Source organism: Homo sapiens, chromosome 10 (genome assembly GCF_000001405.40).
Source record: "Homo sapiens chromosome 10, GRCh38.p14 Primary Assembly".
Classification (NCBI taxonomy): Eukaryota; Metazoa; Chordata; class Mammalia; order Primates; family Hominidae; genus Homo; species Homo sapiens.
The window spans coordinates 55152633-55173538 of record NC_000010.11 but is presented as its reverse complement, the minus strand read 5'-3'; the positions used below and the strand labels follow the sequence as shown (position 1 = coordinate 55173538).

Genomic DNA, 20906 nt, shown 5'->3' with positions numbered 1-20906 from the left:
CATGTATGTAAAAACTACAAATTAAACGATGTCATATTAATTTTTACCTATGAAATTAACTATGATTTTCTATGAGATTAGGGAAATCAGGGAAGGTTGCAAAACAATGAATGGGCATATAAATTTTTACATATCTTAAAGAAGATGTTTATAAGCACAGTCTTCCTAACCCCCATCCTTCTACATACACATACACACACACACACACACACACACACACACACACACATAATCTTTCTAATATAGAATCAAAGGATTCCTATTTTGTCACTTCCCCTCCCTATGACTTAAAATAGTTCTCTAAGTCCTTATTGGACCTTTGCCAATTTAAATGTAAAGATTCAGTATGTTACCTGGAGGTTAAAAAAAAAAGTGGCAAGGAATTCTAAAGTGTTTTTTTTAATTGCCAATTACAAAGCAAAATCAATTTTTTGCAGAATTGATACATGTCCCCAGCATTAGTCAAATACAGTTATATGGCCATTTGTATGTGAAAGAATGACCTAAAATCTGAATCAAAATAAGCAGCCATTCATCTTTGCAATATGATTCAGCTGACTTGCTTAAATTTGCATAAAACAAACCTTTTTTGTAGACCTTTGCATTTAAAAGGCTTTTAGAACTTCTAAAAGTGCTTGCAACTCTCAAAGATGGTGCCCTTTTTCTAATAACAGCTTTCTCAAGCAGAGACAATCTAAAAGAAATACATATGTAATAGATATATATATATTTAAATTTTGTCCTTGTTTTAACATACATAGGCCCCATCTCTCCTTTGGGCACTTTTTAGTTTTTTTGTTACATCCTAATGATACCATAAATATTCTATAAAACATAATTTAAAGAATAGTGTGTTCTGTGTGAACTCTCTCAGCAGGAAAATGTAATGACTAAATACATACTCTTGAAGTATGCCAAAAATAATTTCATGGAGTTATTGTAGCATGCTGAGTATTAGAAGGCCTTTTAAATTTCAAAATGGTGTTATAATGATTTATAATATCCAAATGCTCTGAAGTGGCCATTCATTGCACATCTTGTTATGCAAAATAGTAAGCTTTCTCAAAAGTCATTTATTAATCACTTTAGTTTTGAACAAAACACTGTTCTCTTAGCTGTTTCTAGGATATTATGCCCTATCTTTTACTCAGAAAAAAAATTCAAAAATCAAAGGTCATGCCTTTATTTGTACACTTTTGTACTTTTATCTTGAAAAAAAAGCTGCAATATTTTAATTAGAGGAGTACTTACGTTTAAGAAATAATGCCAATAAATAATTATAGTGAGTAAGAGTTTCTTTTTCTGTTTAGGTGTTCATTTTTGTCAGTCAAGGTTCCCTATTAATACTGACATTTTTATGAAATATAAATTTATTCTCTTGACAATTTATATTTTATATTATTTATGGTGTTGAGAAAAGCAAGCACAATACTTTAATCTTTTGAAAAAATCTCTAGATTTACATAAAGATAAGTGGTCATAAAATCCATTCCACAGCAACCAGGAAGAGTTTATGTTATTGTTTCTAAAAGTTTTGAAATGTAATATCCAACATATTTCTGAAATTATTTATTGGTTTGAAGAAGGCATTTTTAATAAAAGCTTGTTGGCATTGATTTTTTTTTTCTTTTCTGGTTAAATATACTGCTGATGTGAACATTGTTTGGCGTACATCACTACTATTTAGCCATTCAACATCTTGAACATAGCATTTTTTTTCTAGATCACTAATCAAATCCTTATTAATGTAACAATCTACTACCAAATGACTAATATTAATTCTTGAAGTCAGTATCAACTTCTGACATAAAATTGTGTAGTCTTGAATCACAGATCTGAAAGACATATTAGAAATCATACCAAAATACTTACTATATAAATATGAAAATTAAAGTGTAATTAGGCAAAGAACTTGGTCAAATGCCAAATAGCAGAGTAGGATGGCCCCCTCCTTATTATCTTAAATTTCTTTCCATTTTTCTTTTATGTCGTTGTTTTTTTAATTTTAATCCCCTCCACTGCCTTATATTATCGTGGCCTAAAATAAGTGGGGATTTCATTAAGCTGAATGAAGTTACTAGAAGGATGAAAAGAATAATAACACAATTTATGAGTCATTAGGACTTTGGGACTATATCATGAACATAGAAATGTTGGATGAAAAAGATTCAAGAAATAGTGAATTTTAACTTTGAGGCTTCATGTGTATGAATGCATCATTTAGGCCTAAGCTGGTGAAATAATAGAATTGCTATTTATACAGAGTAGAAGAGCTGTAAGAATCAGTAGCTTGGCATTGGCCATATTAATTTTGACATGACTACAGACCTTAAATTAGATGTGAAGGAAAAAGCTGGAGGGTAGTAGACTGACATGCTAATTTTGGTGTTTTTGAGATTTAGATGATGTTTAATTCCATAGGTTGAATAAAAACAGCTAGAATATTATTATATGTAGAAATGAGAAGAAAGTTAAGGTCAGTGCCCTAGGGCATTCTATTATTGAGAGATGGAGAAATGAGAAAGGACCAGCAAAAAAGGAACCAGAAATGTAGGAGATACATCAGGAAGTGAGGTATCCTGGAATCCAAAAAAGAAAATATACTAAGAGAAAAATCAATTACGCTTTCTTTTTCTTTTTCTTTTTTTCTTTTTTTTGAGATGGAGTCTCCCTGTGTCGCCCAGGCTGGAGTGCAATGGTGCGATCTTGGCTCACTGCAACCTCCGCCTCCCAGGTTCAAGGAATTCTCCTGCCTCAGCCTCCTGTGTAGCTGAGATTACAGGCGCATGCCACCACGCCCAGCTAATTTTTGTATTTTTAGTGGAGACGGGGTTTCACCATGTTGGTCAGGCTAGTCTCGAACTCCTGACCTCGTGATCCACCCACCTCAGCCTCCCAAAGTGCTGGAATTACAGGTGTAAGCCACTGCACTCGGCCATCAATTATGCTTTCTACCAGTGTGCCCTGTACATATACCTGCTACTAGGAATCACATTTTAAAAAATTTCTTAGCACATTTTTCTCTTTTCCTTCATTCGGAAAAGGGGGTGGTAGTGGTATTATCATCTCTCCAGCTTTAAGACACCTTTAAGGCTGGCACGGTGGCTCATTCCTGTAATCATAGCACTTTGGGAGGCTTAGCCAAGAGGATCACTTGAGCCAAGGAGTTTGAAACAGAACTGGCCAACATATCAAGACTTGTCTCTGCAATTTTTTTTTTTAAATAGCCAATATGGTGGCATACATCTGTATTCTCAGCTACCTGGGGGGCTGAGGCAGGAGGATTGCTTGAGCCCAGGAGGTCAAGCCTGTAGTGAGCCATAATGATGCCACTGTACTTCAGCCTGGGTCACAGAGTGAGTGAGACACTGTACCAAAAAGCAAAACAAATAAAACAAAACCCACATCAACAACAATAAAACATTCAAAATTCAAGTAGGTTCAAATTAAAAAATCTGTAGCATTGTAAAGCATCAAGTTCTCTTCTACTCCTTCCCTCACTGCCTACTTAATGTCCTTCCTCCTCCTTTCCTTCCTTCCTTCCTTCCTTCCTTTATTCTATCAGTAAATTTAAGTAACAGTCTATGGAATTTGACTCATAGAATTTTATGTCTACTAATGGTTAATAACATTATTTATGTAGAAAGGTAAATCTTCTTATTATTTAAATCACATTAATTTTGGTATCCTTAAGGATTTTCAAAATTCAATTAATTATACTAATGTTTGCTATTTCCACTTCACACCTAGGTGCATATTTGTTTTTTGTTTATTGTAATTACCTCTGATAATTGGCAGTTAGTAATATAAATGCCTACAACCACCCTTGTACTTACATAGCAACATATGACGTAGTTTCATATTTGTATCAATTTGTAGTTCTCTAGTGTTTAATTATGGCTTCACAAATCAAAGTATTGCCCTTTTGTGGATAGTGGTTATGAAGACTGAAACTGCCTTTTATAAAACCTGCTTTTATGTTAATAAATTTTAATTGATTATTCAGGTTTGGTTGAAGGTGGAATGGTGTTCAATTAGATCACAGTATAAACCTTTCTGCTGTTGCACATTTAGTGACACCTTTAAAGGGTTGAAATGTAGTTAAATAATGAATCTTGTTGGTTAAATACTGTATTACTACAACATAGAGATTAATCATGAATAACACATTTTTTAAAGGAAACAATGTATTTCTTAGCAATTGATTTTTTAATTGACAGATAAAATTGTGTTTACTGTGTGCAACACGACGTTTTCAAATATATATACACTGTGCAATGACTACATTTTAATACTAGTTTAGGTTCATTATACCACACATTTCCAAAGCAATCCGTGGGAAATTGTATGCTTTAAATTAATAGAATCTCTTCTTTTCTTATTTATTCTAGCTAATATTGAAGTAGTTAAGAGCGGTTAAAAATGTTTATTTTCGGTATTAGGTAGAACTCCAGAACGGTACTGTTGAAATATCAATCTAGAAAAACAAGTTTTTAAAAATTAAGATTCACAATAAGTGAAATACCACAGAGAGTTGGTACTCACTCTAAGATATGACTTTTATCCTATTTTCCAATCTTTATAAACATAAATTATTTGTTTAATTGAAATCCTACACTCTCTATTTAAGATCTAATTTATAACTCCCCAAATCTAGAGTATCAGAAATGTTTTAAAAGTCAGCATTTAAGTAATAATTTGGTCTTTGGAACTATATTGATAAAATGCGTGCACAATCACATGAAATTAATTCTTATATAATCATAATTACATATACTGTACACATAAAAGATAATCTTTCATTCATCTTTTATCCCCTGACCTGAAGGCATTAAATGCTTTAAGTGTTAATTTTTAAATCTACAATTTCTGCTATATTTTATGAAATGTGTAATGATGACTCAGAAATCATAAGCCACCCACTGTATTACTAAATCGACACAAAGCACAGTGCAAAATGCCTTCCTTAGAATGAGGCTAATTGAAGGTTCAGCACTGTTCACAAATGTACAGAACCCCTAGGGGAATATCTAGCTATTTCTGGTGTTTGATGCTACACTCAGAGCTAATGTCCAGTCAGGAGGTCACTGCATAAACTTTCCTCCTATTGTGGTTATTGTTGATTAAACAAATTGAGAAAATTTTACTTAAGTCTTTGCAATATCCATTTTATAGCTTTCATTATTAAAGAATGTTAAAAATGATTTATATCAAGAGTTTTCCAAATTTGTTCTATGGAAACTTGGAGTTGTATAAAATTGTCTCATATGCTACCAAGGGGCCACACTGGGCTTGGGGTCGGGGATAGGGGTGGTGGTGGCAAATATTTAGAAGATCCCATCACACCTCATCCATAATTTGTCTGGAAAGGATTTGCTGCTATGTTTTACATATTGCTATTAAGCTTAAATTTTATTGTGAAAAAGTGCTGAATACACTGCTTATTGTTTTTATATTTTGAATATAGTACTATTTATTTTCTCCTTTAAGATAGATATACATTAATCCCCAAAGTATTATAAAAATTGACTTGTATGCATTTCTTAATTTTTATTTTATGTAGAGATCTTTATATATCTATGAAAAGAAAGTATTTTAAAATTTTAATTTATATGCGCTAGATTTTTATAAATATTCATCTCCTTTTTCAGGATGTTATTTAATGTAGTTCACCTTAGAACCATTGTAAAATAACAATTCTTTCTAATTATTTCCACTTATTCAGCAGATCACAACCAAACTTTGGTTGTAAGAAATAAATCATTGTTTTGTTTTCCATAAATTAAATGCATCTGTCAATTTTATATTCTACATGTTTGTGTGTTTGAAACAAAATATAGCTATTTCCATCTATTTCTGTACCTATTTCTTGACATGTGCATGAGAGATGTGAATAATTGAGACATGTTCTCTAACTTTGAAATCAAAACACAGTAGAAAGATACCAATGTTAAAATTTCTTAACAACTTTTATAACTTCAATTTTATATTACATCATCATAAAATTAATTTATTTCTACTTTGACAAAGCATAAATACAAAAGCTGTGCCCCTGTGGCAATAATAAAATTATTGGTATAAAATAATAATGGTATAGTATAAAATTTTGAAATCCAAAAGTGCTGTATTGCTGGGTGACTCACACCTGTAAGCCCAGCACCTTTGGAGGCCAAGGTGGGAGAATCACTTGAGCCCAGAAGTTTGAGACAAGCCTGGGCAACATGGCAAAACTACGAAACTGTACAAAAAATATAAAAATGACCTGAGTATGGTGGCACATATCTGTAGTTCCAGCTACTCGGGAGGCTGAGGTGGGAGAATAGCTTGAGCCCAGGTGGTTGAGGCTGCAGTGAGCTGTGATTGTGCCACTGCACTCCAATCTGGGCAACAGGGCAAGACCCTGTCTCAAAACAAAATAAAATAAAAATGCTAAGGAATCAAAAGTAACTTTCAATCTATATAATTGTCCTTAATTGTCTTGAATATGTACACCATATCATAAAACATCATATATTTGAAGTGTCATTTAAGGAGAATTTATGCAGTGCTTCGTTGTTAAGACTGGTGAAATGGCAGACTCTGGTCATACCAAATATGCAGGTGGAAGTGGTTTTTCATTTCCTGGGTAAAGAATATAACCTGAGGCATAGATATGCATTCTAAGAGTTAAGTTTTAAATTAGACTTAAGTCTTCCACTTCCAAACTTATATTTAAGATTCTTGCAATCTTTTACTCATTTACTTTTGATAATTTGCAAGAATTTATTTTAAGCACAAGAAATCTTAATATAATCATAATCTGTAAGAAAATGAATTGCTCCTATGTTTTGCACTAGAGTAACGACTTTGATTTTGATGTGGTATTGATCAATAACTCTATTCTACAGGAAAATGGAAACATCATTCCCTAGAAACAGTTGAAGTTGACAGACCTAGAGGTTGACAAAAGGACACGACACTAGGGTGAGTAAAGTGGTATCCTCCTTTATAATTTTTTCCTTCTCCTTTGAAGAATAACAATACATTACATCTATATTTCACAGTAAGTTCAAGAACTGTGTATGGAATTAAATTTCCAGGCATTGCTCAATGTCTTTAAGCAGATATATGTTATGTTGGATTCACATAAGCTAGACGGAGAGAAAATAGTTAATCAAGTAGTAAATAAATGTCTTTCCCTAGAGAAGTGAAATACCTGTTGTTTCTCTTTTAGTACATTTAAAACAAGCAAACCTTCTACCCAGTTTAGATTTATTATTCTTCATTGATTGTTTCATTCTCTTGGAGAGAACATTCTGGCAGTAAAGTAGTAGACACATTGCATCCATCATTGTGTGTCAAAGGGCCATCAGGTCGATGGCTCTTTTTGAACTTTGTTGTTTCAGAAAACCATAGCTGAGTATTATAGGCAGAAGTTTGACATTTTCAGGATGAAAATCAATTTTCTTTTATGTGTTTCTGAAGTGAGGCTTGTGCTTCAATTACAGAAGAAATAGCTTTTATAACATTGGAGCAACAAAATAGAAATTAAAATAAAATTTGGGTAACAATAGCTTCAGTGAAAGTTAGGAGAATTGTATTTTAGTGGTATTATAATGTTTTAAATCCATTGAAATAGAATCCGAAATAGAAATTTATGGAAAAAGGTACAGAAATAGAATAATGTCTATGAAATCAAGGTAGTAATGAATAAAATTTATAAATAAAAACTCAGAACTGGAACATGTTTAAGGAAATCAAATATTATTAAAGAAGAAATATATAACTGTAATTTGCAATTTATGATACACATATATGTTATGTGTATATAAACACATGACTGCTTATCATACTTGCTTAATTTATCTCTTGCTCCTGGCTCCAGAAAAAATGAAAAAACTCTCTTTCATCCACGAGTATATGAATAGCATTTATCATAAAGCTGTGGCAAAGTAGGCATTTACTACTATTTGCTACTGAATATGTTAAAATACTAAAAATAAAAATAATTTTACCATTTTATACTTTTTAATGTATAAAATGCTGTTTTGCAGGGGGATTTGTGGAGTTTTTATAAAAATAAAGATTTGAAATAACATTCTCTTTTAGTAATAATAAATTATATTTTAAATAATATGCTCAAGTTTTAAAAGTGCTATAGGTCCTTCTCTGCGTACCTAAGACATTTCTGTGTCAGTACACTTAAACAGATTTGAGGCTGAGCCTTAGGCTTTATATTTTTCAACCATAATTTTATTCCTCATATATGCATATTTAATTTCCTATGTAACAATATATTTCAGATATAATTTTTTCATGCAAAAAAATCACATGAAATTGTTTTAAAGTTATAATTTCATCGTTTGTTGAGTATACAAAATCATGAAACGAATACTTGAAAAGACAAAATTTTCATGTCCCCAAGATTCTTGCTATTTAGAGTTCAGGTGAGTTTATGATAAACTTTCTTTCAGGACATTCAAATAAAAATGTAGCACAAACAGCTTATTATTTAATAATTATTAATACCATATAGGTTCATATGTTTTCATATGCACAAATGGATAGATGACGGATAGATAAATAGATAATTATAGACCAGTATCAAAATTTCCAATACAAACACTCTAATATGTAACAGTTCTCAATTCTCTACCCTTCTGTGTAAGAAATTCCTTGAAGGATTAGGGTAAGTACTCTACACGTACACCTTTTCAATCCGCTTGCGTAGTAAGAGTGTGTACAAATGATGACTAATAATGATGAGGCCATTTTGATTCAGTTTCATCAGAGGTGTAAAATGGTAGTCATGAAAAACATAAGACATCTTTAGTTTTTCCTTTTTGAGATTTTGTGATTTCTATTTTTGTCCTGACATTAGTACAAAGAAAATCTGTTTCTCTCCTTGGACAATTAAAATACTGTTGTTATGTAATAAATCAACAAGAGCATGAATTATGAAAATTATGAACAACTTTGGTAATTTTGCAGAAATATCCTCAATACTTATTTCAATTACTTAACCTAAGATGTTACTTTTTTACTCCAATTGTATTACTTAATTATTTTTCTTACAGCATTTTGTATATCTTATATATCTTTAAAATTCTTATTATAATTATATTAAATAAATATATTTAACAGATAAATTATTCAAAACAACATTTTACATTGATAGGTATTATTAATGATGTTCTCAGTTGTCTTAACAGGTCAAGGAAACAAAACATTGACCAAAAAGAATATTTAAAAAAAAAAATACATTTTATGTTGAATAGGTGAAACCCAGTTATACCACTGACTGAGAAAATACGAGATAAAGTTCCTTTAGTATCTGTACTCAAGTACTCCAACTTTATTTGTCAGATATTTTTTCTCATGTAAAGGCTTAAGTTGTGTAATACGAAACAGAGACTGAGACTCAAACTTGGGTCTGACTCCGCAGCCATAGTAGGCTCTACTGCATCGTGTGGCCTCACCGTTGACAACAGGAAGGCCTCTGGTCTGGGGTTATGTAACCGGAAAGGGGTCCCAATCCAGACCCCAAGAGAAGGTTCTTGACCCTTGTACAAGAATTGATTTATTAAGAAAGTAAAGGAATAAAGAATTGCTACTCCATAGGCAGAGCAGTGGCATGAGCTGCTTAACTGAGTATACTTAACAGTTATTTCTTGATCATGCGCTAAACAAGGGGTAGATTACTCATGAGTGTTCCAGGAAAGGGGCGGGCAATTCCTGGAACTGAGGGTTCCTCCCTGCCGTTTTAGACCATATAGGGCAACTTCCAAATGTTGCCATGGCATTTGTAAGCTGTCATGGCTCTGGTGGGAGTGTCTTTTAGCATGCTAATGCATTATAATTAGTGAATAATGACTACTGAGGATGACCAGAGGTGACTTTCTTCACCATCTTGGTTTGGGCAGATTTTGTTTGGCAGCTTCTTTACCGTAATCTGTTTTAACAGCTGGGTTTTTGTGACCTGTAGTTTGAGCTAACATCCTTTCTCATCCTGTGACTGAGAAGGTCTAATCTCCTGGGTATGCAGCCCAATAGGTCTTAGCCTTATTTTTCCCAGCCCCTCTTCATAACGGAGTCTCTTTGGTTCGAATGCCTCTGATAAAATCAATAAGTTTTCATGATGTATAAATCTGAGGCTGTGGGTCTTTATATATTGAATATAACTTTGTGAGATAGTTCTAAGTAGTCTCTTTGGAGTATACATGCATCAGCATAGTTATAATTCCTTGTGGACCTATCTAACCACCCAATGGGTTCATCTTGCCCAGATATAGCTGATTTATCAAGATAGGGGAGTTACAATAGAGAGAGTTTAATACATGTAGAGCTGGCTAAACGAGAGACTAAAGTTTTATTACTACTCAGATCAGCCTCCCACAAAATGTGGAGGCTAGGGCTTTTCAAGGACAGTTTGGCAGGCAGAGGGCTAGGAAAATTGCTGATTGGTTGATAAGGTGTGGAAAATGGTCCTTCTGGACTGAGTGTGCTTCTGAGTTGGAGCCACAGAATAGTCCCTGGCCTGGGTGGAGTCATCAGGTTGTCAGAAATGCAAAAGTCTGTAGAACCACCTTAAAAAGCAAATCTTAGGTTCTGAAATAGTGATGTTAATTACAAAAATAATTAGAGAAGTTGCAGCTCTTGTAACCTCTAGAACAATGACTGGTAATTGTTTAAGCCTAAGTTGTGTAATACTAAGCAGAGGGACTGAGACTCAAACCTGGGTCTGACTTCACAGCCATAGTAGGTTCTACTGCATCATGCTGCCTCTCCATTGACAATAGGAAGACATCTGGTCTGAGGTTATATTACCAGAAAGAGGTCGCAATCCAGACCCCAAGACAGGAGTCTTAGCAATATTCAGGCGCTTCTCAGCCTCCTAACCTGGTGGACTTTCATTAGTTTTACAAAGGCAGTTTAGTTTCTGGGAAGGACTATTATCATGTAAACTATAAACTAAATGTCTCCCAAAGTTAGCTTGGCCCATGCCCAGGAATGACTAAGGGCAATTTAGAGGTTAAAGGCAAGATGGAGTTGGTTAGGTCAGATCTCTTTCACTGTCATAATTTTCTCCCTGTTACCATTTTTGCAAAGGCAGTTTCCCTACTGTTCGGTTAAATGAATTTGATCACTAAATAATTTGTGCACAATTCTAAAACTTCTGGAAAAAAATACATTTTGTTTTAGTACCTTTTTACATCAACACTATGTTTATTCAAGTTAAAGAAACATAGTTATTTTAGAAGGGATATAAATGAGACCAACCATAGTTTCTAAGGGAAAACACTGAGGTTAAAGAAAGTAATTTAAGAACTATAAGCAAATACGGGAAGTTCTACATCTAACGGAACTTATAACTGTGTGATCTATCCACATTAATGTATCTAAAGTCTGGTATTCCTGACTCCATTTAAATTAGATTAAATAATTTAAGTCCAGCATCATAGATTCTCCCTCAAGTACATTTGCTGCTGTTTTGATGTTAATTATCCACATCACTCAGATAATTACCACCTAACTTGTTTATAGCACAAGGTATGCTGTAACTTTTTATCTGAAGGGAGCTTAAGTATTTCTTTTATCATGGGCCACAACAGTTTTCTATGTGGCTTAATTGTGTCCTAGAAAATTACTAGAATAATAAGCGCATTCACAGGGTTGAATATTAACAGATGAGGCAATTACTTGAAGAGAAACCTGCAAATCATTTTAACAATTGTTTTTTCTTGCACTTTGTTAAAGCAGCATTTGCCAAATGCGATCCTCAGATCACTTGTCCTGAGAAGATAAGGTCCGTTAAAAATTTTTCTGTGGTGGAAATAATTTTGACAGCTCAGGAAAATGATATGAAAATTTGTAATAGTAATGAAAGGGTTAGAGAAGTTCTGCCATCAAGAAAAATGCTAAAAATTTGTTTTTCTAACATTGTTTTATAACCTTCCTAATAACAGTTTGCAAAGTTTTTCTATAAAGGGCAAGAGGGTAAATAGTTTGGGCTTTGCAGGCTGTATGGGTCTCTCTGGCATCTACTCAACTCTTCCTTTATAGTGCAAAAGCAGATTTAGATATTATAGAAACAAATATGTGGCTGGGTTCCAATAAAACTTTATCAAATCAGCCCACTGGGCTGGATTTGGCCTGTGTGCTGGAATTTTCCAACCCCCGCCAATATTATGCAGAGGTAGTTTTAAAAAATGTCTGATTTGGAAATCTCTGTTTTAGATTTTGTACTTAAATCTCAAACTCTCTAAAATTGTATCCATAAGATAGCCCTTCCTCTTTGCTTATTCTCATTCTTGAGAAATTTGTAGCAGTAGAGGAGGGCATGAAGAAGGGAATAACTTTTTGCAGAGAATAAACTCTTTCAGCCTTGGTACCCATAGCTATCCCACCCCTATCACCTTTGTGGTATATACTGTATGACTATGGAAAGTGAATCACATACTCTTCCTGCCCTCAGGGAACGAGCTCTATGGTCTACTGGGAGTGAGGGTGATAATTTTGCAAATGACAAGGAATGTGTCTACTGCACGTAATAATATGAGAAAATGTGTGATATTAATGCCACATGAGCAGTAACAATTTCCCCAGGGAGATTAAAAGGAAGAACATAATTTTGGTTACAAGTACCAGGCAAGGCTTTAAATGACAGATAATGCAGGCAAGGCTTTAAATAAGAGATATTGCTGTAGATAAGCTTGTAAAGAGTATTCCTAGACGTCAACAGGCAGTGCTACAGAGGAGAAAATTATGAGAAAGTATTGCTGCTAGATGGAAGAGCATAAATAAGGAAAAGGAGGTGGCGATGGTAGCAAATAGTCACTTAGCAGGAGCATATAGCGTTAGTCTGAAAAGTCAGTCTGCATCAACAAGATGCTTATAAGGTGCCATATACTTGATGCAACAGAAATGCAAAGGTGCTGAAGAACGTTAGCATGATAGGGACTCCTTTCATTCTTTGATTGAGAGGGGCCCATTTGCCCTTAGGTAAGAATGGTGCATATTTAAAATGCCTGATGATGCTGTTAATATTGTCTGTCCTAAGCAGTGACATAGCACATGTGTTAAGTAGTTTCGAGAGTTTTGGGGACCAAAAAAAGCATTATTTGGATATTTCAGATGTGAATGAATATAAACAGTAAAACCTACAACACCTCCCTTCCCTCTGCCTCCACCTCCCACCAAGACAAATCCAGAGGATGGCAGTTGCTAGTATGTTTTCAGTAGTGCAAACATGTCAGGGCTGCCTCCCGGATTGCTTTCAACTTTCCTTTAGGTGGAGAGATTACTGCTGACTCTCTAGTCATTGTGCTCAAATTTAAAGCAAGAAAAAAGTAAAATCTGTACGAAAGCTTTCCTCTTTACTGTGAGAAAGCCAAACTTTCTCAGAAGCACAAATTTTTACATTGATATTTTATGACCCAGAACTGGATCACAGGGCCGCTTCTCACTGGTAGCGAAACAGAGACAACAATTATTTGGCTTTATTCTCTTTCATGGGGGAATTGAAAGGGTAGAAGAAGATTTGGAGTAGCTTTAAAGATGCCTAAAGGTGTCCAAATAAATGTTTAAGTGTTTTATGAGAAAGTTCAGAAGCACATAAGATGGTTTTAGGCAAACTACTTCATATATTTATTTTTCACCTTAATAAATATAACCTGATAATTTTATTGAGAGAGGAAAAAAAAACCGTCGTTTGCAAAAGGATAAACAAAGATGTAATATATATGTTTTATATATATTATATCTTTATATATATCTCTTAATATGTACTTACACATATATCTTTATATATCTCTTTAAAATATATACATAATATACAATATCTATATATAATATAGATATATCTTAAGAAATATATCTCTTTATAAAGATATATAATTATATCTCTTTATCTCTTTATATATATCTCTTTAAGATATATATATATTTATTTACACATTTACAAAAGACAGTTTTTCTTTTCTCTCTCAATAAATTTACCAGGTTATATTTATTTTGTCACGTCCTAGTCTAACAAATCTAGTTGTGTGTGTGTATATGTGTGTGTGTGTATGTGTGTGTGTACATAACATAGAGAGAGAGATCTTTGTATAGTGTATGTATAGGTAGATATAGATATATATCTTTATAATATATATAATGTGTATGTGTGTATATATATATATATATATAGATAGATAGATAGATAGATAGATAGATATGGTAATCTTACCTCCTAAAGGAAATTTGAAGAGATATATATATAACTATATATAGATAGATACAACTGGATTTATCAGTCTAGGATGTGACAAAATATTCCATTTGAAACCATATTAGCAGCTTTTTAGATTTAATTTTTTTTATGAGTGGTGCATTATAATATGAAGGAGTTGTAAAACTTTTAAGGACTTTGCAGTCAGAAGATCTGAAATATAATCCCAAGACCACCATTCACTAGCTATTTGTCTGTACTAAAGTCATTTAGCCACTGAGGACATCAGCCTCCCTTTCATCATTTTTAAAATGAGGATAATAATAACTGCCCTTCACACTGCGTAGGTTTGTTGCAAGGCCCAAATTAGGTGATATTTTAAAAATTGCTTCATCAAACAGCAAAACACTTTAGCACTTCTCTGTCTATATCTTGAGCTCTTGTTTTTTCTCTCTCTCTCTCTTCTCCCTCCCTCTCTCCCTTTCTTTCTGACACACACACCCCACACACATTTCCACATAAAGCTCCCTGCTCAATCCCTTGAGATTACAAATGCCATCACAGAAATATATCAAGTGCCTCTGACAGCTTCTGGCTTCTGTTACTCAGTTTGTTTTTTTCTTTTTTCTTTTTCTTTCTTTCTTTTTTTTTTTTACTTAGAACAAATTGAATCATGCTACTAGGTACCACTTCTTTAATGATTTCATGTATTTGTCACTTTAAAAGCTTTTATTTTTGACCCCAGACCCTCTGAAAGCCTGTCAGTTATAATCAGCTGTTATTCAGTTTGTCTGAACATTGAGGTTCATACCACAACTAGAGAAACTGGTGGTGGAGGCACTTCTGTCTTGGAATATAATCAATGGCTGAAATAACTTTTGGGTCATTAAGAATGAAGATTTCCCCTCACAAGGTAACAGAGGATTTGGAAATGTTTAAAATGTGGAATGTCAGTAATATTATTCCCCATCACCCCCACCTACCACTTTACTTCTGTCTCACATCTGTTTACATCTAACACATTAGTAGAATCCCAAAGCATTAGTATCCATATACCAGATCAGAAATCCAAACCCAGCACTCATTACCACTAGCTGCATATAACATTTTCATAATTATTAAGTTGCCATTCTAGAAGAGAAGAAATATAATTTGTATACATACAAATGTGTGTGCGTGTGTGTGTGAGTATAAAACATGAATTTCTTCACTTCTAGAGTGGCAACTTAATAATTATAAAAGATATGTGTATATATATATATATATATACACACACATACACACATATTTGTGTGATTTTGAATCTAAATTGTTTTGGAACTATAGAGCATAATAAATTTACCAATAGTTTGCACAATATTTATGTATTTATGTTAATTTATTTATTTTTTAAATTATCCTTTAAGTTCTAGGGTACATGTGCACAACATGCATGTTTGTTACATATGTATACATGTGGCATGTTGGTGTGCTGCACCCATTTACTCGTCATTTACATTAGGTATATCTCCTAATGCTATCCCTCCCCCCTTCCCCCACCCCACAGCAGGCCCCAGTGTGTGATGTACCCCTTCCTGTGTCCAAGTGTTCTCATTGTTCAATTCCCACCTATGAGTGAGAACATGTGATGTTTGGTTTTCTGTCCTTGTGATAGTTTGCTAGGAATGATGGTTTCCAGCTTCATCCATGTCCCTACAAAGGACATGAACTCATCATTTTTTATGGCTACATAGTATTCCATGGTGTATATGTGCCACATTTTCTTAATCCAGTCTATCATTGTTGGACATTTGGGTTGGTTCCAAGTCTTTGCTATTGTGAATAGTGCCGCAATAAACATACGTGTGCATGTGTCTTTATAGCAGCATGATTTATAATCCTTTGGGTATATACCCAGTAATGGGATGGCTGGGTCAAATGGTATTTCTAGTTCTAGATCCCTGAGGAATCGCCACACTGTCTTCCACAATGGTTGAACTAGTTTACAGTCCCACCAACAGTGTAAAAGTGTTCCTATTTCTCCACATCCTCTCCAGCACCTGTTGTTTCCTGACTTTTTAATGATCACCATTCTAACTGGTGTGAGATGGTATCTCATTGTGGTTTTAATTTGCATTTCTCTGATGGCCAGTGATGATGAGCATTTTTTCATGTGTCTGTTGGATGCATAAATGTCTTCTTAATATGTTTTTAATGATTTTATATAGATAGATAGATAGATATAGATAGAATGACTGCCTTCACATATGTGTTAAGATACTTTATTATGAAAGTAATAAAAACATAACTAAAATTGTCACACAGAATACAGCATATTCATTGGCTTATGAATCTGAAGGTCTAGAATTCCTTTCAGCCTTCAGGCAAGGGCTGACCCAAGAGTTTAGCGATATTACTGTCTGTCAGCTTTTACTTCATTGGTCATGACTTCATTTTAAGACAGTCTTCCCTCATAATCTCAGCCTATCCTATTCCACTTTCAAATTTATATGCATAACACTTTCAACAGTCACCAACCTCTCTCTGTTTAGCCCACCATTGTAACATATCCATTTCTGAACCAATAGATGATTGTGTGTAGGGCTTATTGACTTAGCTTAGGTTACAAACTCCCCCTCTGGAATAAGGTCATTATCATCTTACCCATAATCACAGTGATCTCTAGAGATTGCAACTACTGAAATCAGAAAGATGCAGAGTGGGAATAAGTAAAACCTATTCTACTTCTCTAATAAGAGAGTCAATTTTACATGTGCACGTAGGTATATTTATTGCCTGGATTCTAACTCCTGATAGAAAGCATAAAGACAGATTCTCCCATGAGTGAATAAAATAAATTTGTCCTCATGAACTATTAGGTTAAAACACATAAAACTGCCACATGGAGGTGCCAATTGGTCAAAAATCAGCAACTACTTACCATTCAACCTAGAAGAAGGCCGCCTTAGGGAAAACTGGCCACAGTTGCTTTACCTATACCAAAGACCACAACCATCAGTACATGTAATATCCTCCATTGTTTCCCTAGCCTATTTAATATATCTGTGTGGCAATGATCTCATTAGTTTTCCTAAAATCGTATGTTTTCTTAATTTTTCCAAAAGTTTTAACAAGATAGAAACCTCCTAAAGCTAAATATTCCTTGAATGCTTCATTGGTATATTTTAGCCTCAAGCTTCACATGAAGGATCATTATCCATACATACATTTTGCAGATATAAATTATTTGTGCAATGGATTGGAGTGTAGGTCCTTTGTATGTATGAAATAGACCCCTTTATTTCTGGGAAATCATTGTTCTCTTCGTGGGTTTCCTGTGATCACGTGTTGTTGCCATCCATTTGCAGGTCTTCTTTCAGCTCCTCTAGGATGATTCAGCTGCAGCTCTGGCTTTGTTGACTGCTGAATCATGTAAATGGAGGCTTAGTGAAAAATATCTCTATTGAAGTACCTTGTCAGAAATCGCTAATAGCTGATCTTTACAGCAAAATATATATCAAAAGCTGGTTTTACAAAACATTATGTAAGGATCATTGCTTCTTTATTTTGTATAGACATACTATGTGCACTGAATTGTCAGTTTACTCATCAGGGACTTGATGAGTACTTCTGGCATCCTTGGGATAGTTTCATGTAGACAAACTCTTTAAGGAAACAGCCCCAATAATTATGTTTCTGTTTATATCAAAGGATGGTTGTTAAAAATATTTATTACAAACACAACTTTTAAAGACCTTGTCAAGAAATACTTATCTTTGCCCCTAAATGAGGCCTGAAGCCTGAAGTACTTCCTTTTTCTGATCTATGATATTTTTATTAATTATTTATAATTTATTATTATTGCTTTTTTTTTTTTTTTGCATTGGTTGCCAGAAAGCTCACAGCCAAATCTGTGAACACTGTCTTAGAAATGTGTGCAAGAACCTGGAACTTTAGTGTTCATTAAATTTCACCCATTCTTCTCTTCAGTTTTCTAAATTTTTATCAAAATAACACTTCATAATAACTAAGACGAGATTAAACAGAGAACATATAAATAATAAAATTATATCTGAAACAACAATAAGAAAGTAAACAGAGAGAAAAACCTGTAATTACAATCCACTGAAGTAACTGCACCGAAGTAACTGCTGCTAACATTTAGACATATATTCTGTAATGTCTCACTTACTTATCATTTTATCATTCATCATGTTGGACCATTTCATTGTTTGCCTCCTAAAATCCTTATTGCAATAATGTGGTATCTATACTATTATACCTAACTACATCTATAGGTTGACATTCCATCTCTTCTCTCTGTACTGCCAGAAGCAGTCTTGTCCCCTTGTGATGGTTGCAAGAACTAAAAATAGTTGCTTTATAGCAGGAGGCTGTTAATGTCACAACAAGTTCAATTAAACTCTTAAGTATGTCAGGGGTGTGAATTACTTCATCTTGCAATCTGAGAACCACACCTTGAATGAAACTAACTGGTAGAGGAGGTAAAGCAACTATCACTGATACACTAACTTATTTACATTGATGTAAAGAGAATTGATTAGAGGGAGAAAGCAGACAGTAGTGATATCCTAGCAGTTCTTAAATGTGCATACTTGATTTATATATTTATATGGGATGAAAATTCTATTTGCCCTTTTATGATTCCACCCAATTATCCACTATGCATATTCCTCAGAGTGGTCTATAGCACTATATGAGGGAATCCCTGAATGCTGCCTGGTTGTTAACATGGCATGAAGCATAGTATTATTGATCCTCTTTGTAGCTGCTGCACCCTTCACTAACTGATAACTTTAAAGCTAGTTGCTTTACTGTTAACCAAGTACTAAGCATAGTAAGCTTCGGTAAGCCAAATTTTACAGGTAATTAAGTCTATTTTTGTAGTGTGAGCCTATTTATATTTGTTGTTTCTGATTATCTATAGAGTACCAGTAGTCTCCTTTGTATATTTTATTCTTGATTTGCCCCAGGGTTCTCCATTCATATACATGAATACACGTTATCCCTAATACAAATGAACGGACTTTTACAAATTCATTTTTTAAAGTTTATTTGTTTTGACTAATATTATACTTGTTTTCATTATAGTATGAAATATATAAGATGCTAACACTGTAAAAGATGAATTCATATTTTCTTTTTACATACTTAAGTAGTGTAAAAATTGATTTCACTTTAACAATTTATCTCCTAGTGGTCTCTAAAATTATCTGAATATATGTACAAATAATGTACTTCAATGTTCTGCCAGAAATTAGGCTGTATAATAGGAAAATTGTATAGGAGCGACCCATTTAATGAACGTGTACATGGTAATTTCTCACTCTGAGTATGCAAATTTAGATATAGATTTAGTGATTTTCAGAACTGAAGTATTTTTAATGAGAAAGCCAATTTGTAAATGTTTAAATGTGTTTCCATCCTTATAAGGATTTGACAACTCTGGCTCACAATGCTTTGCTGACTTGTTTAAGTAGAACTTGTCTTTTCTTCAGTATACTGTGTATTGCCTAAGGCAACATTTAGGCTCTAAAGTGGCAAGGTCAGAGCTCAAACCTAGACATTCATGTTCTTGAACCTCAAGCACCAGTGCTGGTGATACCCATGTTCTTTTCACTACATGAAACTGGTTTTGTGGAAGACAAATGAAAAAGGAGCAGTATTTGATGCCCTTAAACCTATGAAGGTAGTGAACAAGTAAAGGGGAGTTTAGCACAAGGCCGCCAGTGGCTATTAGTACTGAGGTGCCTTTGACAGACCCTCCACTGAGGGTCTTGGCTTTAACAATTAAGAGCTGTATGACTTCTAGCTTCTGCTATACTCTCTATTTTATCTGCCATCATTTTCTCTTTTTATTGTTATAAATTATACGCCCACTACAAAGGTGAAAAATTGCATTCTGCTTCACCCAGTAATGATTACAAAATTTCAGCCATTATGGCAGAACCACTTGGGAGAGGCAGCCTGTCCTCCAGGCTGATGCAGCCCGTGTCAAGGTGAGCAACTTGGTGAAGGGAAGAGCAGGCTGGATTTCACCTCCCACTCAGGTGATCTTGGGGGCCACTGTGGGCAGGACACAACCTGGGCAGCTCAAGAATGGCTTTTTGTTTAGGTCTTCAATCCTACTCCATTTATCCAGGCTAGTTTTGTTTTCACTGATAAAGACATTTCACTTATGGAAGTCATAGGTGTGGGTAACTAGATAAAGTAGATCAGTTAAATGATACGTCTTGAAAATAATGACACCTTTCAAAGTAAAGTATTAACATAATGATAATTTGTTATCTTGGATTTAACCATATTTTGTATCTTTAAAAAATTACTTGTATATTATTTATTAGTTATGGCTTTCTAAACACAAAGTTACCTATACCTACATTAAAAAAAAAATTCATGGTGGTGAGAGGGAGTTATATCTTTAACCTTAACCAAGTTATGTAATTTACATAATTATTGTGTGTGTGTATGTGTCCATACACATAATCACAACAGTGCTATGCTTTTTTATTTTATGATATAGTCATTGAATTTAAGTTAAAATATTACAATTATTTTTCTATTCAATTGCTAACTGCAGTCTTAGGGCAAATGTAAATTTCTTTTTAAATATCAAATTAAGATATCTAACTCTTCCTATTTTCTTGAACCTGTCTTCTCTATCACAGTTCAAGTTCTCATCATCTCTCATTAGAATCATGTCCAATAATCCCCT

At 33.8% G+C, this 20906-nt stretch overlaps 1 protein-coding gene across 1 annotated transcript in view; it reads left to right on the top strand.

The window, feature by feature from the left end:
- Positions 1-20906, top strand: part of PCDH15 (protocadherin related 15) — a 1825172-nt gene that overhangs the window by 454404 nt on the left and 1349862 nt on the right. Inside the window, exon 3 of the mRNA NM_001354404.2 lies at positions 6888-6963. The gene's annotated coding sequence lies outside the window, so the exon portion shown is untranslated. The remainder of the gene's footprint in view (positions 1-6887; positions 6964-20906) is intronic.